Raw genomic sequence first — 18,993 nt, forward strand, 5'->3', positions numbered from 1 at the left:
TCTTTTGAAATTCAAATAAATATAGTGTAAATATACATTTAAAGAGCAGTTGTACAAATTACATATTTTCAATGATGCAAACACAAATACATTCTTGTTCATTTGCTTAATAAGGATTTATCCCAAAGAGTTCATGTATCAGACTGTAAAACCTGAGTATTCCATCAAAACACCTCAAATAGGTAATGCTGTGATACTATTATGCATTTCTATTTGCCTCAGTTACTTTGGCAAATATGAAATGTAATCATGCAAAATTAAACATTCCATACATTTTCTATTCATTCTCTAACACTCTCCCTATATTCTGAAATAGGCTATCACATTTTCAAGTTTAAGGGGACAAAAAGTGAATCAAATTTCTTGTTTCTGAAAGCATTGCAAGTAATAGGTCTTTTTACTTACGGCTTTCCATCTAAGAATCACCAGGCTCTTCACACATAAAACATAATAAATCCATACAGTCTGCTACATACCTACCCAGTGGGAACCCTCCTTGCTGATGAGAAGCTATACCTGTATTTTCTCAACGTAAATTTGGCCCAGGCTTTTAGGAATGATGTTTCATTTACTTGTGCATGATCAAGAGGCATAATCATATAGGTGGAAACCTCGCTTCTTCTCCCAAATAAGTAAGAGTTAGGAAAACAAACCCTGGACCCAATTGCCTGGTATTTGGATATCAGTTTTGCAAACTTTAAGCTATCAGATGATGGAGCAAGTCGCTCCACTGCCCTGTGCTTCTGTTTTTGTAGTGATAAAATTGGGATAATAATAGTACCTATCCCATAGGGTTGTTGGGTGAATGAGTTAATACATGTAAATCCTTGAGAAGACAGCCTTAATAGCATTAACTGTTGTTATCTTGACTTGTCCTGCCCACATATGACACCTGATGCCTTTCAAAGTCATCTCCCCTCAATTACCTCATTGGGATCTCACCATCTTCCTGTGAAGCAGTGGAAGTAGATGCTATTATTTCCATTTTACAGATGAAGAAAGTAAGATTCAGAGAAGGTTGCCAGCAGTCAAGACTGGAACTAGACTAGTACATATTTCCACTATTCCTCTTTTTATCCAGAACAAACTGACTCAGTGACCCAGACATTTCCCTACTTATTTTGTGGGGAAGGGAGGGAGTCTTGTTTCAAAGGAGACATGGAAAGCACTCTGTTGCCAAGGTTTGTCTTGCATACCAAAAAAGATCCAGATCGGCAGGAGACATGTCAACAAGTCTGCCTTCATCATGATTTCTGCTAACTATGAAATGAAAGTTAATTTCATGCCTCGCATTCGCAGACAAAAAGGTTCAGAGCTGTTTAAATTCTCTTCAGCCCAATGACAGTTAGTAAACAGGAGACTTCGTGTTCTAATGCTTGAAATCACCCTTCGTATCTCAATATATTATTTATGCACTCAGCTTAAAATAAACAGCAACTCCGAAGTAGGTGAGTGGTCTCATTTAGTACAAATTTTTTTCACTCTGACAGTTACTTTAAAACATGGGTAAACAACCTTAATTCACTTCTAACGAATTAGTAGGCTACTGCTGTGTCTACAGGAGGCAAGCAGATTGTATTATTAACCAAAACAACTTTCTTCCTGTCAATCGTCTGCACCTCACAGGGGGATGTGGGCTTTGCTGTCTTGTTACTCAAACCAATCCATGGGCACACGTGATTCCAGACGATTTCTTCAGAGGTCATTGTCTTCCGAAACTTTGATTAGATCTCTGGACTCTGAGATGCAGAATGGGGCCTGGAGAAGATAGATTCTCAGTGCTGCTTGTTAAGAAAGATATAGACAGATAAGAACTTTTCCAGAGGGGTAAAGAGTTTTGGAAATCATGGAAATGAGCTCTAGTTGTTGAAAGAACTGAAGGTGACAAAAAGACCACTGTAGGGAGATGCAGTAAGTGTTACTAAATATTTGAAATGTGTCATTTTGTAAGAGGAACACTTGTTCATTGTAGGGATGAATAGGACAAGTAGAACCCAAGGCAGAGATACATCGAGGTTGGATTTATGTTTAACTTGAGAAGGAATTCTCTAACTGTCAGAGTTGCCTTTTTAGGTTGTAGACTTTCTGCCTCTAGAGGTTCTCAGGCTCCAGTCAGGTGGAACCCTTAGAACTGGCCAACAAATAGGGCTAGATGAGACATATAAGACCCTTGCAGACTTAGATCCTACAGCTGCATGAATCCAAGGATTACTCACTAAAATAAGCTTCAATAAGCAGTCCTAATCTTAAATTTCTCTATGATCGATTTTAAAGGGTGACAGCCACCTTTTAAAAGAGAAAAAATGTCAAACCATGGGTTAAGCACTGGGCATGTAGCTGGCCAATCTATGGTAGCACAAACTATTCCAGGGCATTGGTTGTCCTGGCAAAATAAAAAGATGCACCAATTCAATGGAGAAAATCTACCAAAGCAGTTGCTTTGGGATTGCACAGTCTCCTCCTGCCCTTTTGCAGCCTTTGCCATTGCATGGGTAGGAAGCAATTCCCAGGTTCCCCTGGACTGTAACCTGGTTAAGAAGGGGTGATCCACACTTAGCTCACCATTCTGGTTGGCCTCCTCCCCCTGCCCCATGTCTGCAAACACAATAATTAGCAAACTGTCTAATCAACTTTCATCCTTAACAAAATATCATTCACCTCATGGAAACATTCATTCTCTCCCTGAAATCAACCATTTCTTTGAGACATAAAGTGACTGCTCAAAACACAAGTTAAATACAATTTTAAAAGAAAGGAAGAGAGAGTTGAGAGAAGAGAAATAAAGACACCTTATATTTATATCCATGGTTCATATAAACATTTTTACATATAATAATATACAGACATATTTAGTCCAAATTATCTAGTAAGCATTGTTTGAATTTATATTTATGGAGGGTGGCAGGCGGAGGTGGCTTTTCAACATCTGACATATTGTCAAAACATTAGAGTTCAGAAACATTAAATGCCTCAAAGAAGTCAGATTATCAATATCTGGGTGTGAAACTTGGTGTTACAGATTTCCTGATATGGCAAGAGCAGACATTTGGTATTTGCACTTCAGAATAACAGAAAATAACATGACAATAATGTATTATACTTACAAAGTACCCTTCATCCATGGGGCTCCAATTTTACCAATATTAGTTCACTGATTTTCGCAAAAAACCTGAAAGGCAGAGGGTAAGTTTGTGTTACCCCCACTTTGCAGATGGGGATACTGAAAGGCAATAAGGTTTTAAATTATTCGTCCATTATGGTGAGAATTCAGTAATGGGAGAACAAGAATTACCATTTTGGCCTTCCCCATCACAATGCATCTTGACTACCCATCTTTCCCAAGGGGACTGATATTTCCTATGTCATTTTCACCACAATCTTAACATATTAAACACATTTTAGAGTAAGACAGTGATGAGTTGCAACTCCTTGTTTTTATGAGCCCAGACACCAATATTCTTTTAATACTAGAGATAAGATTGGAAAAATTCCCATATCCATTTTAAAACATGGAAGAAAAAATTAGATTGACAAAATGCAACCATCCAACTAAAATTTGGCCTGAAAATAATGTTACTACTGTTCAGTTTGTTATATACTTATGTTCACATTTCAGCATATGGACTTGTCTTTTAAAAAGATTGCAAGGAAGTCAGAATACTTCAGAAGTAATTTCGTTAACAACATTTTTAGAAGGGTGTATTTTTAACAGTCCTTTCTAGGACATCCCATCCTTTCTACCACTCTCAGACCATTTATTCATGCATTGAAAAAATAATCAGTATTTATTGAGTTCTTACTATGTGTAAGTTTAGAACTGTGTGTGGCTTCTTGGAGGACACAAAAATGTATATGACATAGGTCCTACCATCAAGAAACTTACAATCCTATGGTTCGATAATTTTATTACTATGACAACCACTCTAATCAAAAGCTCTACAGAAAGATCTGATAGTTTCTAGACATTCCTGGCAAGTCATAGACACCAATCCCAGAAAGATGGCACCTTCAGAAAATATTCCAAAAAAAGGATGAGTTTGGGTTCTGTGTATGAGCCATACTATTTGGGATTACAGAAATACTAAAAGATGGGTCTCCTTAAAATGACTGGCCCTGAGTTTTCCCAAAGCCGATGATGTGAGGGTCACAATCTCTCACTGTCTTCTCCTTACGCACCTCTGCAACAGCACTGACCCCTTCACTCATCCTCAAATACGCAAGCACATTCCCACCTCAGGAACTTTTTGCTTGGGCCAATATTGTTGCAGTATTTCTATGGCTTACTCCTTCCCTTTCATCAGATCTCTGCTTAAATACCTGCTCAGTGATGTCTCCCTGACCATCCTATTTAAAATACATTCACATGCCACAGAACGACATTTCAGCCAACAACCAACCACATATATGAGGTGGTCCCATAACAATATAATACAGCGATATCATATTTATACTGTAACTTTTCTATGTTTAGATACAAATACTTACCATTGTGTTACAATTGCCTAAAGTATTTAGTACAGTTACATCCTAGCCTACAGGTTTGTAACCTGGGAGCAATAGTATATACAGGGAATTTTTTTATGTGCTGCTAAATTCTAGTGTGAAGGCACTCCACGAATATCGATTGAATTCATGAATCACAGCATTAAACTAGGTGCTCTTCCTTTTTTCTATCTTTTTACTCTTGCTGAGATACTGTTATAATTACTAATAAATGAATTTCAATACTGAATCATCATAGATTTTTTCCACCCAAAGGAAAAAATTAAAACTCCACAAAGACTCAGTGAAATGCTCCTAGAAAATATAATAAACACCTGTTGTTATCATTTTCTGTTATCTTGAGTACCAGGGTGCGAGTTGGGTGACCTGGCTTCTTGGCCAGCTCTGCTGTGAGCCCTTACCTTCTCCTCTCCCTAGGCCTTTGTTTCTCAAGAGTAAAATAAAGCTTAAGAAGCTAATTTCCGAAGTTCCTTCTAGTTCAGAAACTAGGTGATAGGCCAAATTATATTCATGTTTTTACATTTTCTGATTTAATAGCACTTACTAAGTATAAGCTTCTCTCAAAGGTAGCAAGGTCATCATTTCATACTAAGCAAAGTAGGAATGCCGGAGGCAAGAATGTGCATGTCTGTCTACGTCTACAAGCACACCGATTTTGGACACACAACACAGTGATCACTGAAACCCTGTTCCCCCATCCTCACTCTCACACCACCAACATATGACAGACATGCAAAGAAAGATGCCACATCAGCTGTTTATGGCATCTTGAGTCACAGACACTCCACTTGGGTCTCTAAACAGATTTCTTGTTTACTTGCACATTAATAAAACTCACACCTTCGCCAGTCAGAATTTTTTCCCCGAGCATCTGAACATCCAAAGAGATTTAGAAGCAATTAACATTCACGAGTAACAGAGCAATCAACATGGGAATCGCTAATGGGACTGGACAGGATCCAAGAGCTGATATGAGGATAATAGTGAGTCCCTGACATAAGTTATGGTGTTAATTCTGGAGGGCAGAGTCGTGGTATGTTTTCAATAGCTTTGTGGGGCTGCTGTCACAATCACATATGCCTCTCCTATACATGGTTCCTCACCCCCTACAACATGTCTTTTTTTTTTTAACTGCTATGAAAAAGATGGCATTTTTGCACTGATATAACAGAACCTCTAGCATTAATGGTATTATATTGAATCCAAGTTTATTTTTAAATTGCCTACCTGACAAAATGTTAAAATGTCATTTATTTTCCCAGTTTGGGTCTCCAGACTATCTTCACCTGTTAGCCCTTGTAGCTAGAGGCCACAAAAATAACAGCTGTGAATTTCCACCTTGACGCTTCCCCAATAAGTTTTGCCAGTTACTTGTGTGCACATGGGTTCATACATCCCACGTAAATAGGAAGACATGGGTATTCCTATTCCAACCAGCTCTATGCTTGCTTCCTTGTCAGTTTCGCTGGCCTGTTTTCATGAAGATCACAGAAATCAGCACACCACATCACCCCACCCCTTTCCACCCTACTGGGAGAGTCTCTGGGTAATAGAGAATGTTTCCATTGTTCCTCTTTCTGCCTTCCATTTTCTAGCCTTCATGTCTCATCACTACAATCCATCAAAAATGCCAATGCCAGGCAAATCTATCTCTCCCTCCCCTTGGACCACATTCTTGAATCCCTGCCCTGGCACTCCTTCTCCCTCAGCCTACAGAGCAAATGGCTCAATCTTCAGAGCCTCTGACCTCTCCAGACCCACACACACTTCTGAATCCTCAGGACCGCTCCCTGCCCTTCTCCTCCTCCTCCTGCGTCATCTGGTTTCCCTTGGAACCAAGATACCCATCTCTGGTTACAGGACACTTTCTCTTTCTATAGGAACTCTAGGTCCCCTGCAGGCAGACTACCTGCTTTATTTCCATTTTTCACTTTGGATGTAATTCATCACAGCCAATTATGATTTGCTTTATTCTGTGTGGTCCAACAAAATAAATGTGTTCCTAGGAAGAGCTTTTAATTTTTTCAGCTATTTTCACATTAGTCACGAGAATGTAATTGAGTAAACACCACTTTTGTGAATTGTAATATATTTCTGGTTATTTTATTTCATTCATGCTTTCTTCCGTTCCTTTCTCCTATTTGCCTATTTCTGACTATTAAAGGGCCCCTTCTTACTTAAAGATCCAGCATGTCAATTTTTTTTCCTCCACCTCCCCACCTCCAACACACAGCCATTATGAAAGTGTATCCCTTTTTAAAGCTTCAGTTTATTCTCTGAATACAATCAGATACAGATGCACAATCTGCCTCCACCAAGCTGTGTGTGCTAAAAGCCTGTTTTGACAAAGATTTTATACAACATAATCCAAATGAAAGGTAAGTTATCAACAGACCCATACTTAGGAATCCCTCACTGTTATCTCTGGGGCAAGCAGTTTAATATTCCCAGCGGCAGTCTCAAAGCCAGGAGATGCATGCCTAAGACCTGCCCTCCCAACCCCCACCAAGTCACCACGCACCCCCCGCCCCATAACTCCCTTCCCACCCCTAGTAGCAGCAGTGGAGGATAAAGTGCTTCTGGGCCCGTGGTAATCCAATCAGGGCTGGGTGTGCTTCAATCTCTACCTGTCCTCAGAAAACATTTTGGCAGAATGCCTTTCAACTACACTTTGCATTCCACACCGGGTCCTGTGCTCATTCTGGAGGTTCCGCAGAAGTGAAAGTGGCCCTGCCCAAGGAGTGGACTTCACCTGCCTTCCCAAACTGCAGAATATCAGAAGCACTTCCACCATGAAGGTGTGGGGCTGGGGGGTGAGGCTCTGACAGTACCCACCACACACAAGGAGTGAAAAAGGCAAAGGAAAACATGAAACGAACACATCAATTTTTTTAACTTCAAAGAGTAAAGGAAACCATTTTTCAATCCTTTGCTCTTACCTATGCACCAGTGAAAATATTCCACCCAGTCCATTTATTAGTCAGGGCTTTTCAGGGGTCTGTAACCTTTCCAGACCCCTTTGGCTATCTGATGAAATCTATGGACCCCTTCCAAGAATGGTTTATAAAAGATTGCAAAGGAGATTAATTATATTGAAATGCCTTTACTTCTCAAGTTAAGCAGCCCAGCAGGATGTGGTTTTAGTGGATGAAAGGATAGCTGCTCCCTGGTTTTTTTTTTTAACTTGGGATTTCTACAGAAGAGATTTGTGCTGGGCAAGCGATGGCTGTGGTAAAAAGCATGAAGTGGTGACTGTCCACACTGTCCTCAGGGCTGTACAACTTCCTGTACATCAGACTTGGTAGCTGGCTCTGCCTTGCAGACGGCTCCATGCACATTAACACAGAGCGCTTCAATATCTGCTACACTGGAATAGCTGAGATTTGGGCTTCCTTTACTTAACAGTCCTACGTAGATTTTAACTACTCCTGAAAGAGAAGAGTCAACAAGTACAGAAAACAATGTGAGGAAATTTTGGAAAAGAGAAGTCATGGTAGAAAACTTGAATCTAACCATTTACTCTTTTTCTAAATATGTACTGAGCACTTACTGTAGGTTCACAGTAGTAAACAAGTGACGTAAGACCTTTCCCCCAAAAAAGTTCAAGCCCAAATGTGGGGAGACACCCTGTAAGCAAATAAACAAGTAAATGTAAAACAAATAAACACTATCGATATGTCCAATGGTGATAAAACAAAGCAGAAGAGATGCGAGAGTGCATGGACAGTTGTCATATTTCATGCAGAGTTTATTTCCCATTTCACATCAATAAATATTCATCAAGTTCCTACTGTGTTTTAGGCCCTGTAGTGGATTCAAGAAAAATGACATATGTATACACACATGTGGGTGTATACACACACACACACACACACACACACACAGAGTTGACCCTTTAACAGCACAGATTTGAACTGCATGGATCCACTTATACAGAGGTCTTTTTCAATAAAAGTTATACCAAGTGTGCCCGTCTCTCCTGCCTCCCCTTCCACCTTGTCCATCTCCACTTCTGCCGTACCTGAGACAGCAAGACCAACCTCTCCTCTTCCTCCTCCTCAGTCCACCCAATGTGAAGATGATGAGGATGAACACCTTTATGATGATCCACTTCCACTTAATGAATAGTAAAGATATTTTCTCTTCCTTATGATTTTTATTTTTTTGAGACAGGGTCTCACTCTGTCACCCAGGCTGGAGTGCAGTGGTGCCATCTTAGCTCACTGCAGCCTCGACCTCCAGGAATCAAGGGATCCTCCCACCTCAGCCTCCTGAGTAGCTGGGATTACATGTGTGCCCTACCATGCCCAGCTAATTTTTTATGTTTTTGTAGTGATGGGGTCTCATCATTTTTCCCAGGCTGATCTTGTACCCCCCGGGCTCAAGTGATCCGCTTGCCTCAGCCTCCCAAAGTGCTGGGATTACAGGTGTGAACCACCTTGCCCAGCTCTTATGATTTTCTTAACATTTTCTTGTCTCTAGCTTACCTTATTGTAAGAATAAAGTATAGAATACTTATATAAAATATTTATTGACTGTTTATGTGATCAATAAAGCTTCCAGTCAATAGTAGACTATCAGTAGTTAAGTTTTGGGAGAATCAAAAGTTATACCCAGATTTTCAATGGTGTGGAGGGTTGGCATACCCATGTTGTTCAAGGCTCAACTGCATGTATGTGTACACACACATCACACACTCAATTTCCAGTTACTTGCATGTGAAGGGTGCACAGAGTCTCCACCAAGAGAGGTCTGTGATGCCACACTGCTGAACAGTTTCTTTTCAGAAAGGTGACCAGTGAATGCCACCAAGGGCCCACAGGAGCAGAAAAGGTGCCGTGAGGACTGCATTTGCTGTGCTGAAGGGCATGAGCTTTGGAAGCATCAAGAGCCTTGGCAGAAGGTCAGCCACCATGATCCTACACTCGACTCTACCACCTATCTCACTAAGTGCCCCAAGGCAAATTACATACATCACCTCTTAGGGTTTTAGAACCTTCATTGGCAACATGCGGAACCCAGGCTGCCATGGAGTTCAAATGCAGTAATGCAAGGAAAGCACCCAGCACAGTGCCTGCTACTAAGAATTAGAGAGATGAGTTCTTGTCTCATGCATCTTCTTATCCAGGAATAAAAAGCGCAACAGGAATGCAAAAGCCCCAGACAAAGACCATGCACCCAGAGCAGGTGTACAAGAACTGCTTTTGCCTATTTGTTTCCTCTGTTGTTTTTGTGGCCAAATGGATCTGGGGAATACTTGCAGGTGTTACTTAAAAAAAAGAGAAAGACTTCATAGTGAAATAAGTTTTAGAAACAACAAAGAAGTGAGGTAGCACAGTTCTCTTTGCTTCAGGCTTTCTCGTAGTTTAATATGCTAATGCACATCACATATCTCCAAGAACTGTCAACAATGTATGACATTGTATATGTCATACAATGTATGTTTCCCCAATGTATGTGACCACGGAACCCTTTGGCATGGAAAACTCCCATGTGACAGTTATTCTATGGAAAAGACTTTGGGAAATGTGGGTTTGTTAAAAGAACAAATAAATCAAAAGATAAGAAATATATACCCTATTTGGTTCTGATGTGGTCTAGTGGCTTTCATTGAAAAGGCAGACTTGGGCGTATTTTTGTGCACACCAAGAAAGCCTAGTACCAGTGTTTCCTATTCACTGAACCAAGGCAACTTCTCCTTCTTTTCCTATAAAAAGAAGTCATTATTCTGGGACCACAGTGCATTTGGGGGAAATGTCGGCAACATCTGAACACTTCTCATTCCCTTGGACAGGTAATTCCACTATTTTCTGCAATAAATGGGCCCTTAAAATGAGTTTTGTTAATTCTTCTCTTGAAAGCCAAATCCTCTTCTGACTACACAGGGGAAGGCTTCTGCTTAAAGTCACCCTGGGTTTTATTATTCGAATGGCTTCACAGTGAGCAATGCATTACTTTCATAAACAGAAAATCGATGCCGGGGGGCAGAAAAAAAGAAAAGAAATTCCATAGGGATGTGTTGATACACCTATGATTAGTCCAAAAATTGCTTACTTGTACATGAAGATTTTATATATGCTGCTTTCCATGAAGACCTTACTTAATGTTAGAATACTAGATACACTGGAAGTGGAAGAGGTGGTCAAAGAGAAAACTAGGGCGAAAATTGTTCCTCACGTGCTTAGAATTCAATTGCAGAAAGAAAGAATCCTTAAGACTCACCCACATTCTAGGAGGCAAAAGAATAGAGAGAAAGAGAGAGAAGGAAGAAAGGGAGGGAGGGAGGAAAAGGGGAAAGGAGAGAGGAAAGGACTAAAAAGAGGGGGAGCACATGTGCAAAAGAGGGGAGTAAGGGAGTCATTGAAAAGCCTAAGTTTGGGGGAGAGGAGGCTACAAATGCACAGATTTAAATTAACCCAAGCCCGTAAAAAGGCTTTGTACAAGGGCTCTGGCGTTAATGGGATTTGGATTGCTACAGACTGCAAATCAAGAACAGAACGTAACGAGAGATGCCGGAGTTATTTTTGAAATGTATGTCTTAAGTAATGTGAAGCTTAACTAACAGGGACACTGCAGCATTTTGCAGTGGCTGCTGGCTTGTGGCCTGGCTGGGAATCAGAACTGCCCAGTGAATAAGTTGCAGTCTCCCACTTGGGACCAGATGGAGTTGGGTGAGCCTTGACCCTAAGGTGTGCCGCTGAGGAGTTGCTTCGTGTTGTAGGAGGAAAAATGCAGCTGCTCTGTTAGATTGCTTAGTGATGCAGATGATGCAGGTGGAAAGTAACCCTCTGAACCCCAGGATCTTGGGGTCATGGGTTTAGCATTCATTCATTCAGTCAGTCAGTAGGTGCCTCCATCAGTGCCTCCAAGGTGCCTGGAATTGTTTGGGGTCTTGTGAATACCATGAGTCTCTGCTGTCAAGGAACTTACATTATCCCAGAGGAGGGTAAGTTAGCAAATAAGTAAGAATTTCTGTTGGTGATAAGGACCTTGAAGAAAATAAAAAAAGGAAAAGGAGATGAGGTAGAGTGCGGCTTAAGGGCAGGGGAAATGTGTTCAGGGAAGGCATCCCTGTTGCAAGAACATTTAAGCTGAGCCTTGAATAATGAGGACTCCAGGCTGCAAAGATCCTGCAGGGAAGGAACAACAGATGCGGAGGGAGCGCCATCCTCAGATTTAGAATAAGCGGCCATCTTCCCATTCCTCACTACCAGCTAACTCAGCTTTCCACAACACTAAATTGAAAAGCACACAGACATGTTTAATTTTAAGATCTTCAATTGAATACTATGCCACTAGGAAAATATATCCTGAAACTTAGGTATTTTTAGAATGGTCTGCTTCAGTTTCCTCAAGTACTTTTTTCCCTTGTTCAACCAGAAGACCCACATACTTTAGGTACATCAGCTTCCTCTAAATACCTGAAACTGCATTCATCAGCCACTTTCTAAAAATTGGATCTTACTTCAAAGCTGAATGACTTGATGACTCCCATAACAGAATACATTACACTGATTATGGGATTATTCACATGCCATTTGCAAGAGGTTGGGCAACATTTCTCAACATTCCACCCACCAACAAACAGAGTAGCGACAGTGGAATGCTAATATGCAAATGCCCTCCATGTCCTGATACCATGATAAAATTCCTCTTCACTCTTTTTAACTGATGTTAAAAAAGAGAGAGGGATGGTTATTTCGGTACAATGTAGCCCACAGAGAATAAAAGGCGTAAGCCCCAGCAGGGAACCAAAGCAGAGATTGTTTCCATGACCTGGCACTCACTAAGCACTCAGTAAATGTAGGTTCCTTCCCCTTCCCTTTCCCCTTCACCCTTAAATGCCAAAAGGCTAAGGGTTCATTTTTATATCAACAAGCTTTGAATAACATATTCATTGGCTCCTCCTTTTGTGACTATCAATCCGGTGTTGTGTTCTCATCTTCTGGCAATTGTTTCAGCCTCAATTCATGCCAGGAAGAATGACTTGGGGTGAGAAGAGGGTGAGGAGGTGGAAGCTTCATAGGCATGGTTCACTGTCCATCAATGATTAGCATTTTATACTCATGACAATCAAACTCATACTTTACTTTTAAAGTTTTAGAAGGAACACATATTAAAAACCAAAATGAAAACAGGGCATCATAAGTTCAAGGAAGCCACAAAGTAGACCAAGAAGCATAATTCTACTATGCACCATTTTATTAGCTAATCAACGTGTCATTTTTTTTTCCTATGGGCACCTACTTACTGTCTTGTAATTTCCATAAGGGCACCATCTGTATTTATAAAAGAATTATCTTTGTGGTGATCTAGCAATCTACAAACAACAGTGATATTTAACTTTTCTTAGGGGATCAACTGTAGAATTAAGTTAAAGGATTTATAAGTCTCTTTGTCAGGATGAACCTTAAAAGGACTTATTCATACATCTCTGTGATGTTGGAAGCACTTGAAACAACAAAAAAATGTAATTTTGATTCATTAAAATATAAAGTTCTGGATCTTGACATGTACATGGCATGGATCCATGTCATGGATCTTACATTTGTAATCAAGCATAATGACCCTCTACTATAAAGTCCAGTAAAACAATAATAAGTAAAATATTTTCTTTTTTCCATTTTAGCTGAAAGGGTGGGTTAATTTTCAGTGTGATCTGGTTTGGTGCCCTATGGCTCAGACAGAATCCAGTATTAACCAAGGTCACTGCTATGAGTTCAATCAGCATCCAGTCAGCTAACTCAGTTATAACACATGCTTAAACCCTCTCTTGTCCAGTTTTTAATGATGGCCTTGCAAATGCATGTTGCTGGTCCAATGATGGCTAATAACGTGAGTGGAGATCAGCCAGCAAACCCCCTACCACTGATGGAATCAGAAACTCCTAATAGATGCTCTTATATTGGGCACAGATTTCATAGATAAGTAATACAAGGTGCATGCAGGAACAAATTTGTTTAAAGCGTTTCTATGGCTACCAAAGAGGACCTCAGAGAGAACAATCTTTGGTTTTACAAAGGTATATAGTTTCAGTTTTGCATAAATCCAAAAAAGTAAAATGCATGTCAAGAGAATCAATCATAGACAAAAATGTCACTATTTGTCAAGATGCAAATTTCTTCACTAATAATTACTTTGTAAACTTAATTTTAAGCAATATTTAAAATAATTCTGATTAAAATATATGGATGTATTAACAAAATTAAAAAGCAAAATGCAAACTAATATTTATACTTCATTGATTCATTATTTAATCCGTACATATTTATGGAGTTCCTACTATATCGAGTACTGTTGTAAGAACCAGGTATAGTGAAGAACAGAATACACATAGTCAGCCCCTTCCTTCCCTCATGGAGCTTCCTTTTTTTAAAACAAAGTATGTGTAAATGAACAAGTGGGTGGAAATTTATGAAGTTACATTTGTGATTGAATTAAGATATGTAACTACTCTCTCTAATATAGTTTTATTGCTTTTAAAATCTAAATTATGTATTTCTTTTAAATAATTTGATAATGTACCAGCACCAGGAAGTAATCTTTCTGGATTTTGGGTTTTGCATTTTTTGTTTTTATGCTTGTTTTTAGTCATTGAAATATCAATATTTGACATAATGAATTTAATGAATTTTGACGACCAAATTTTTGAAATGTATTGATAAAATGGAGAATTTTCAGGGAAGTGTTAAGACAAGAATATTTGAGAGTGGAAAAATGGGTCTTCTTGGGGAAGGATAAGGAATCAGAGTCATTTATCTCAAGAAGTGACTTATTATCTCTATAGAATGAACACATAAGAGAATGAACTCTAGTATTCATGTCAGATATAAGATGGTGATTTGTTCTGAAATGTATCTGAAATCATTGTACTGTATGATAATTTGAGTTCTACGTTCAAATCTTAGCTCTACTACTGTGTAGAGAGAACCTCTCCACATCTCAGTCACTTTATTTATAAAAGGGACATTTTACATAGACTACGCGAGTATAATAAAAGTATATTACTTAGCATGTAGTCTTTAATCACCATTAGCTGCCTTCATCATCACACTTTATTATCATCATCATCATCATCATCACACAAAAAAACTCAAGGCTTTGTTGTAATAAGGGGCAGCTTTGGTCTCCTGCTGACAATCACAAAGGAAGCTGGTAACAGTCTGTCCTGAGCAAACAGGAATTTAATTCAAAAGTCCTCAGTTCAAGGCCTAGCTCTTTCAGTGTTAACTTGTGCAAACTTGTATAAAGCTCTTAAACTTCTGGGTCTCAGTTTTTCCAGCTCTAAAATGGACATAATAGAACTTAACTATGAGATAATACATGTAATAATTAATTTTGAGTGTCAACTTGACTGGGCCATGAGACACCCAGCTCTATGGTTAAATATTATTCTGGGTGTATTTATGAGAGTGTTTCTGGATAAAGTTAACATTTGAATCAGTAGACTGAGTACAGCGTATTGCCCTCCTCAGTGTGGGCTGTGTTCCCATCCAATGTCTTGAAGACTTGAATAGAACAAATAGCTTCTCCTGCCTTCAGATTCAGACTGGAATTTACACCATCTGCTATCTTGATCCCTCTGCGTTGTCCTTCACTGGAACTTACACCACTGCATCTCCTGGCTCTCAGGCCTTCAGACTGCAGCTCTTGGGACTTCTCAGCCTTGACAATCACATAAGTCAATCCCTTATAATAAATCAACCTCTCTCTCTCTCTCTCTCTCTCTCTCTGTGTGTGTGTGTGTGTGTGTGTATGTGTGTAAAATCGGCTCTTGGGTGTTTCTCTAGAGAACCCTGAGTAATATAATATACTTAAAAAGAACCAGCATATACATTATTTCATTAAATATAGGGCACTACTAATTTTATAGAAATACATACTGTGGCAATAGTCTATCATAAATGATCTCTTATTTTGACCACCCAGGATAAAAATTCCCAGAAAGATTATGAACATGAATTTCAGCTTTACTATTCACTACATAGAAAAAAATCTCTTTAATTCTCTGCATTCCAATTACCTGGTCAGGAAAAAGGAAAGTTGTGTAACTTATGAGGATTACAAATTTAATGTGCAAAGTGTCCAGAAAAGGGTTCAGCATGCCGAAGATATCCACTGATTGGTAGCTCCTATTCCTTTTGGTCAAACGATGGTTTAGTAAATTCAATTTTTGGTATGTCTAAACTCTTAAAATGAAGAGTTTTACAGTTTAAAAGTTTACAGTTTAAAACTCTTAAAATGAAAACCATTACAAATAACCTTTGGATTATCTTTAAATAATTCTTTCTGGTTTGGAGGAAAAAAATCCATAAAAACATAAAATACCCAGGGTGTCAAATACACAGTATAATCATTTTGTATGATCATGGCTAATACGGTTCAATCTAAATTGCAGTCTCATATTTGACATAATTATACATAACCAAAAACTAATAAAAATCGCTGCCTTATATTTCAAATTGGTAATTATGGTAGTAAACATTAACAACATGTCAGATATAAGATGGTGATTTGTTCTGAAATGTATTAGAAATCATTATACTGTATGATAATTTTAATTACAGTTTGGTAGCAAGAGAGCATGCAGGGGTCTACTGCTCTAGTGCATCATGGGAACTGGCAGCCCTTCCATGCAGCCCTCACTCTGACTCCTGTTGTTCAAGTTCAAGAAATGCACAATTCCTCCTCCACCTTTAAATAGCGGACTGAGTTCCCTCTGCAGAATCAGCATATCATGAGATTTGGAGTCATTCTTCCAGGATTAAATCCTTGTCCTTTTACTTTTTTTTTTGAGATGGAGTCTCGCTCTGTGGCCCTGGCTGGAGTGCAGTGGCACAATCTCAGCTCACTGTAAGCTCCACCACCCAGGTTCACGCCATTCTCCTGCCTCAGCTTCCCAAGTAGCTGGGACTACAGGCGCCGGCCACCACCCCAGCTAATTTTGTTGTATTTTTAGTAGAAATGGGGTTTCACCATGTTAGCCAGGATGGTCTCAATCTCCTGACCTCGTGATCCACCCACCTCAGCCTCCCAAAGTGCTGGGATTACAGGCGTGAGCCGAGTTCAAATCTCAGTGGGTCCTTTTACTTTCTAGTCATATGAACTGGGCTAAAGGTAAGTTCTCTGTGCCTTAGATTCCTGTTCTTTAAAATGGAAAACATAGTAGTACCTACCTTGGAGGGGTATTGTAACAACAAAAGCAGATTATTCTGTGTGTAGTACTTAGCCTAGCACCTGGAACATGGTAAGTCCTCAATACATCTATGTATTGAGATAGACATGTATGTATATACATGTATGGTATACATACTTGTTATTATATTATACTAACACTCAGATCATTCATTTTCCTAAGCTTTTAAGATCCTGGTCTTCATAAAAGTGACCAAGTGTTCTATTTAAGGTGGAGGTGTGCTGACTGTTAGCTTCTGTCTCTCAGGGACTGCATTCTTCAAAACGCATTGGGTTTTCTCCTCTGTTTACTCCTTCCATGTTTTCTCCATCTCCTTTTTCTCACTCAGTGCTGAGTCCATGGGATGATGCTATGTTCTTCCTACATATTTTCACCTCTGTCTGTCTTTAGCTCACGTGGGATATGATGAGGTTTCTCTTCAAATAATCTGATCAATCTTTTATTATTTAATTCATAGTACCTTAGGATTTTGAGCATTATTCCTAACACTCATCCTCTCTTGAGCCCTTCCTATTGTCTCTAACGATGGCCTTTAAGTATGGATCCAGGATACACCCCGTGCTCTACCCATAATGCCAGAGAACCACTGAGGAGGCTTCAATCCCTAACAGGTGAATGCAAGTGCCATGAAATTCCCAACTCCACCCATGTCATACCCCCCTGACTTACCTGATCACTAGGCCCTAATTTAGAAATTTAATACACTTCCCCCACAACAAAAAGAAAAAATCTTGTGTGAAATTCATTATTCTAATATAAGAACCAATTGTTTATTCAGAATTACCCATTTCCACCCCTTTTTAAAATACTCTGGGCCTTACTACATATTTGCACAACTCTTCCAGTTCCAAGATCCTCACACAAAGTGGGGAAGAACCCCCAACGTCATCATAAAGCGTCTTTCCTTTCTACATTTCCATACTGTTTCAGGTAAAATATTCAGGGGAACAGACCAGACTGCTAATTAAGGAACTGTCTGAAACCACCATGAACCACATTTCCACTGGTGCAATAAGCAAAGACTCTTCATTAAAATCACTGTCCTCTGTAAGGGAAAGCTGTTTCCAGTGCAATAGATCTAATTCACAGGTGTGATCATGCAGACCCAGGTACAGTATTCATTATTAATTTAAAAAGTATGCCAAATCAATTAAAAACCATTTTAAAGGGAAGGAATAAAATTTAGTTCTACCTAACTGCAGCTCAGCTCTAATTTATCTTCCAGCCACTTTCAAGGGATTTTACTTGGTTCTTAATCGAACATTCATTGGAAAGGGTAATTCTCATGAAATTACAATGGCATCTCTTGCATCGTTTAAAGCAAATGTTCCCATTCTTTGGAAATCGAGAGCAGCTTCTCCAATAAAGACTCCCTTCAAAGTGTAAAGTGGGAGAGCTTGGGGAGCTGCTTGAGAAGAATAAAACATTGCATTTCAGAAGCTGCTCAAATTTAAAACTCTGCCCGCATCACTATGACAAATTGTATTCCAAATATAGGTTATTCACAACATGTTTGTTATAAGGCGAGGCATATGAATTCCTGTCGTGTCTTTCTTTACAAACATGTCAAGACTTGTGAACCCTTAATGAAATGCAGCATTTTAGAGGCAAGGGAAGCCACAAAGACACCAGAAAGAAGAGACTCTCTTTCCTGGGACTGGGACCTTCTTATGCTAGTGATGGTTCCCATTATTAGAGACACTGTATCATCTCAGAACCAAGTGGAACTTTAGAGGTCATTGAGTCCAGAAACTACAGTTTACAGATGAAGAGACCAAAACCTGAAAGAGAATGAGAATTTTCCTAAGTGTCAGGGCTGGTTAGAGACAAAAACAACCAGGCCCAGGTCTCACCTGCCCAGCCCAAGGCACCTTCCAATAGTGTTGTATGGACGAGACTCTAAAATAGCTTTTGTCCCCTTGGGGCACTTTTTTTTTTTTTTTTTTTTTTGAGACAGAGTTTCACTCTTGTTGCCCAGGCTGGAGTGCAATGGCATGATCTTGGCTCACTGCAACCTCCACCTTCCAGGTTGAAGCGATTCTCCTGCCTCAGCTTCCTGAGTAGGTGGGATTACAGGCACCCGCCACCACGCCCAGCTAATTTTTTTTTTTAATGTATTTTTAGTAGAGATGGTGTTTCACCATGTTGGCCAGGCTGGTCTCAAACTCCTGACCTCAGGTGATCCACCGCCTCAACCTCCCAAAGTGCTGGGATTACAGGAGTGAGCCACCGTGCCTGGCCGGGGCACTTTTTTAAAGTCCTGTGGGGCAGCAACTTCTTGATAATCAGATAAA

The 18,993-nt window shown here is 39.6% G+C and overlaps 1 protein-coding gene across 12 annotated transcripts in view, besides 1 other annotated feature; it reads right to left on the reverse strand.

The window, feature by feature from the left end:
• The window catches only part of PPARGC1A (PPARG coactivator 1 alpha), a 680,885-nt gene that overhangs the window by 463,078 nt on the left and 198,814 nt on the right, over positions 1–18,993 (reverse strand). For 8 of the 12 annotated variants that reach the window (NR_148986.2, NR_148981.2, NR_148987.2 and 5 more), the window contains exon 2: positions 3,105–3,169. The exons of 3 other annotated variants lie outside the window; for them this stretch is intronic. Coding sequence is in view for 2 of the 9 variants with exons in the window: in NM_001330752.2 (NP_001317681.1) it covers positions 3,105–3,122 (18 nt within the window). In the remaining 7 variants the exon portion in view is untranslated. Of the gene's footprint in view, positions 1–3,104; positions 3,213–18,993 lie in introns of those variants that run through there. One more of the 12 variants, XM_047449546.1, reaches the window with a different exon arrangement.
• Positions 11,771–12,272: an enhancer, noted in NCBI's record as "NANOG hESC enhancer chr4:24268492-24268993 (GRCh37/hg19 assembly coordinates)". NCBI's record gives its function as "activates a minimal SCP1, AML or CMV promoter by ChIP-STARR-seq in naive H9 embryonic stem cells {active_cell/tissue: H9 hESC(naive)}" and the evidence as "EXISTENCE:reporter gene assay evidence [ECO:0000049][PMID:30033119]".

The sequence above is a fragment of the Homo sapiens genome, chromosome 4 (genome assembly GCF_000001405.40).
Source record: "Homo sapiens chromosome 4, GRCh38.p14 Primary Assembly".
NCBI classification, from domain to species: domain Eukaryota; kingdom Metazoa; phylum Chordata; class Mammalia; order Primates; family Hominidae; genus Homo; species Homo sapiens.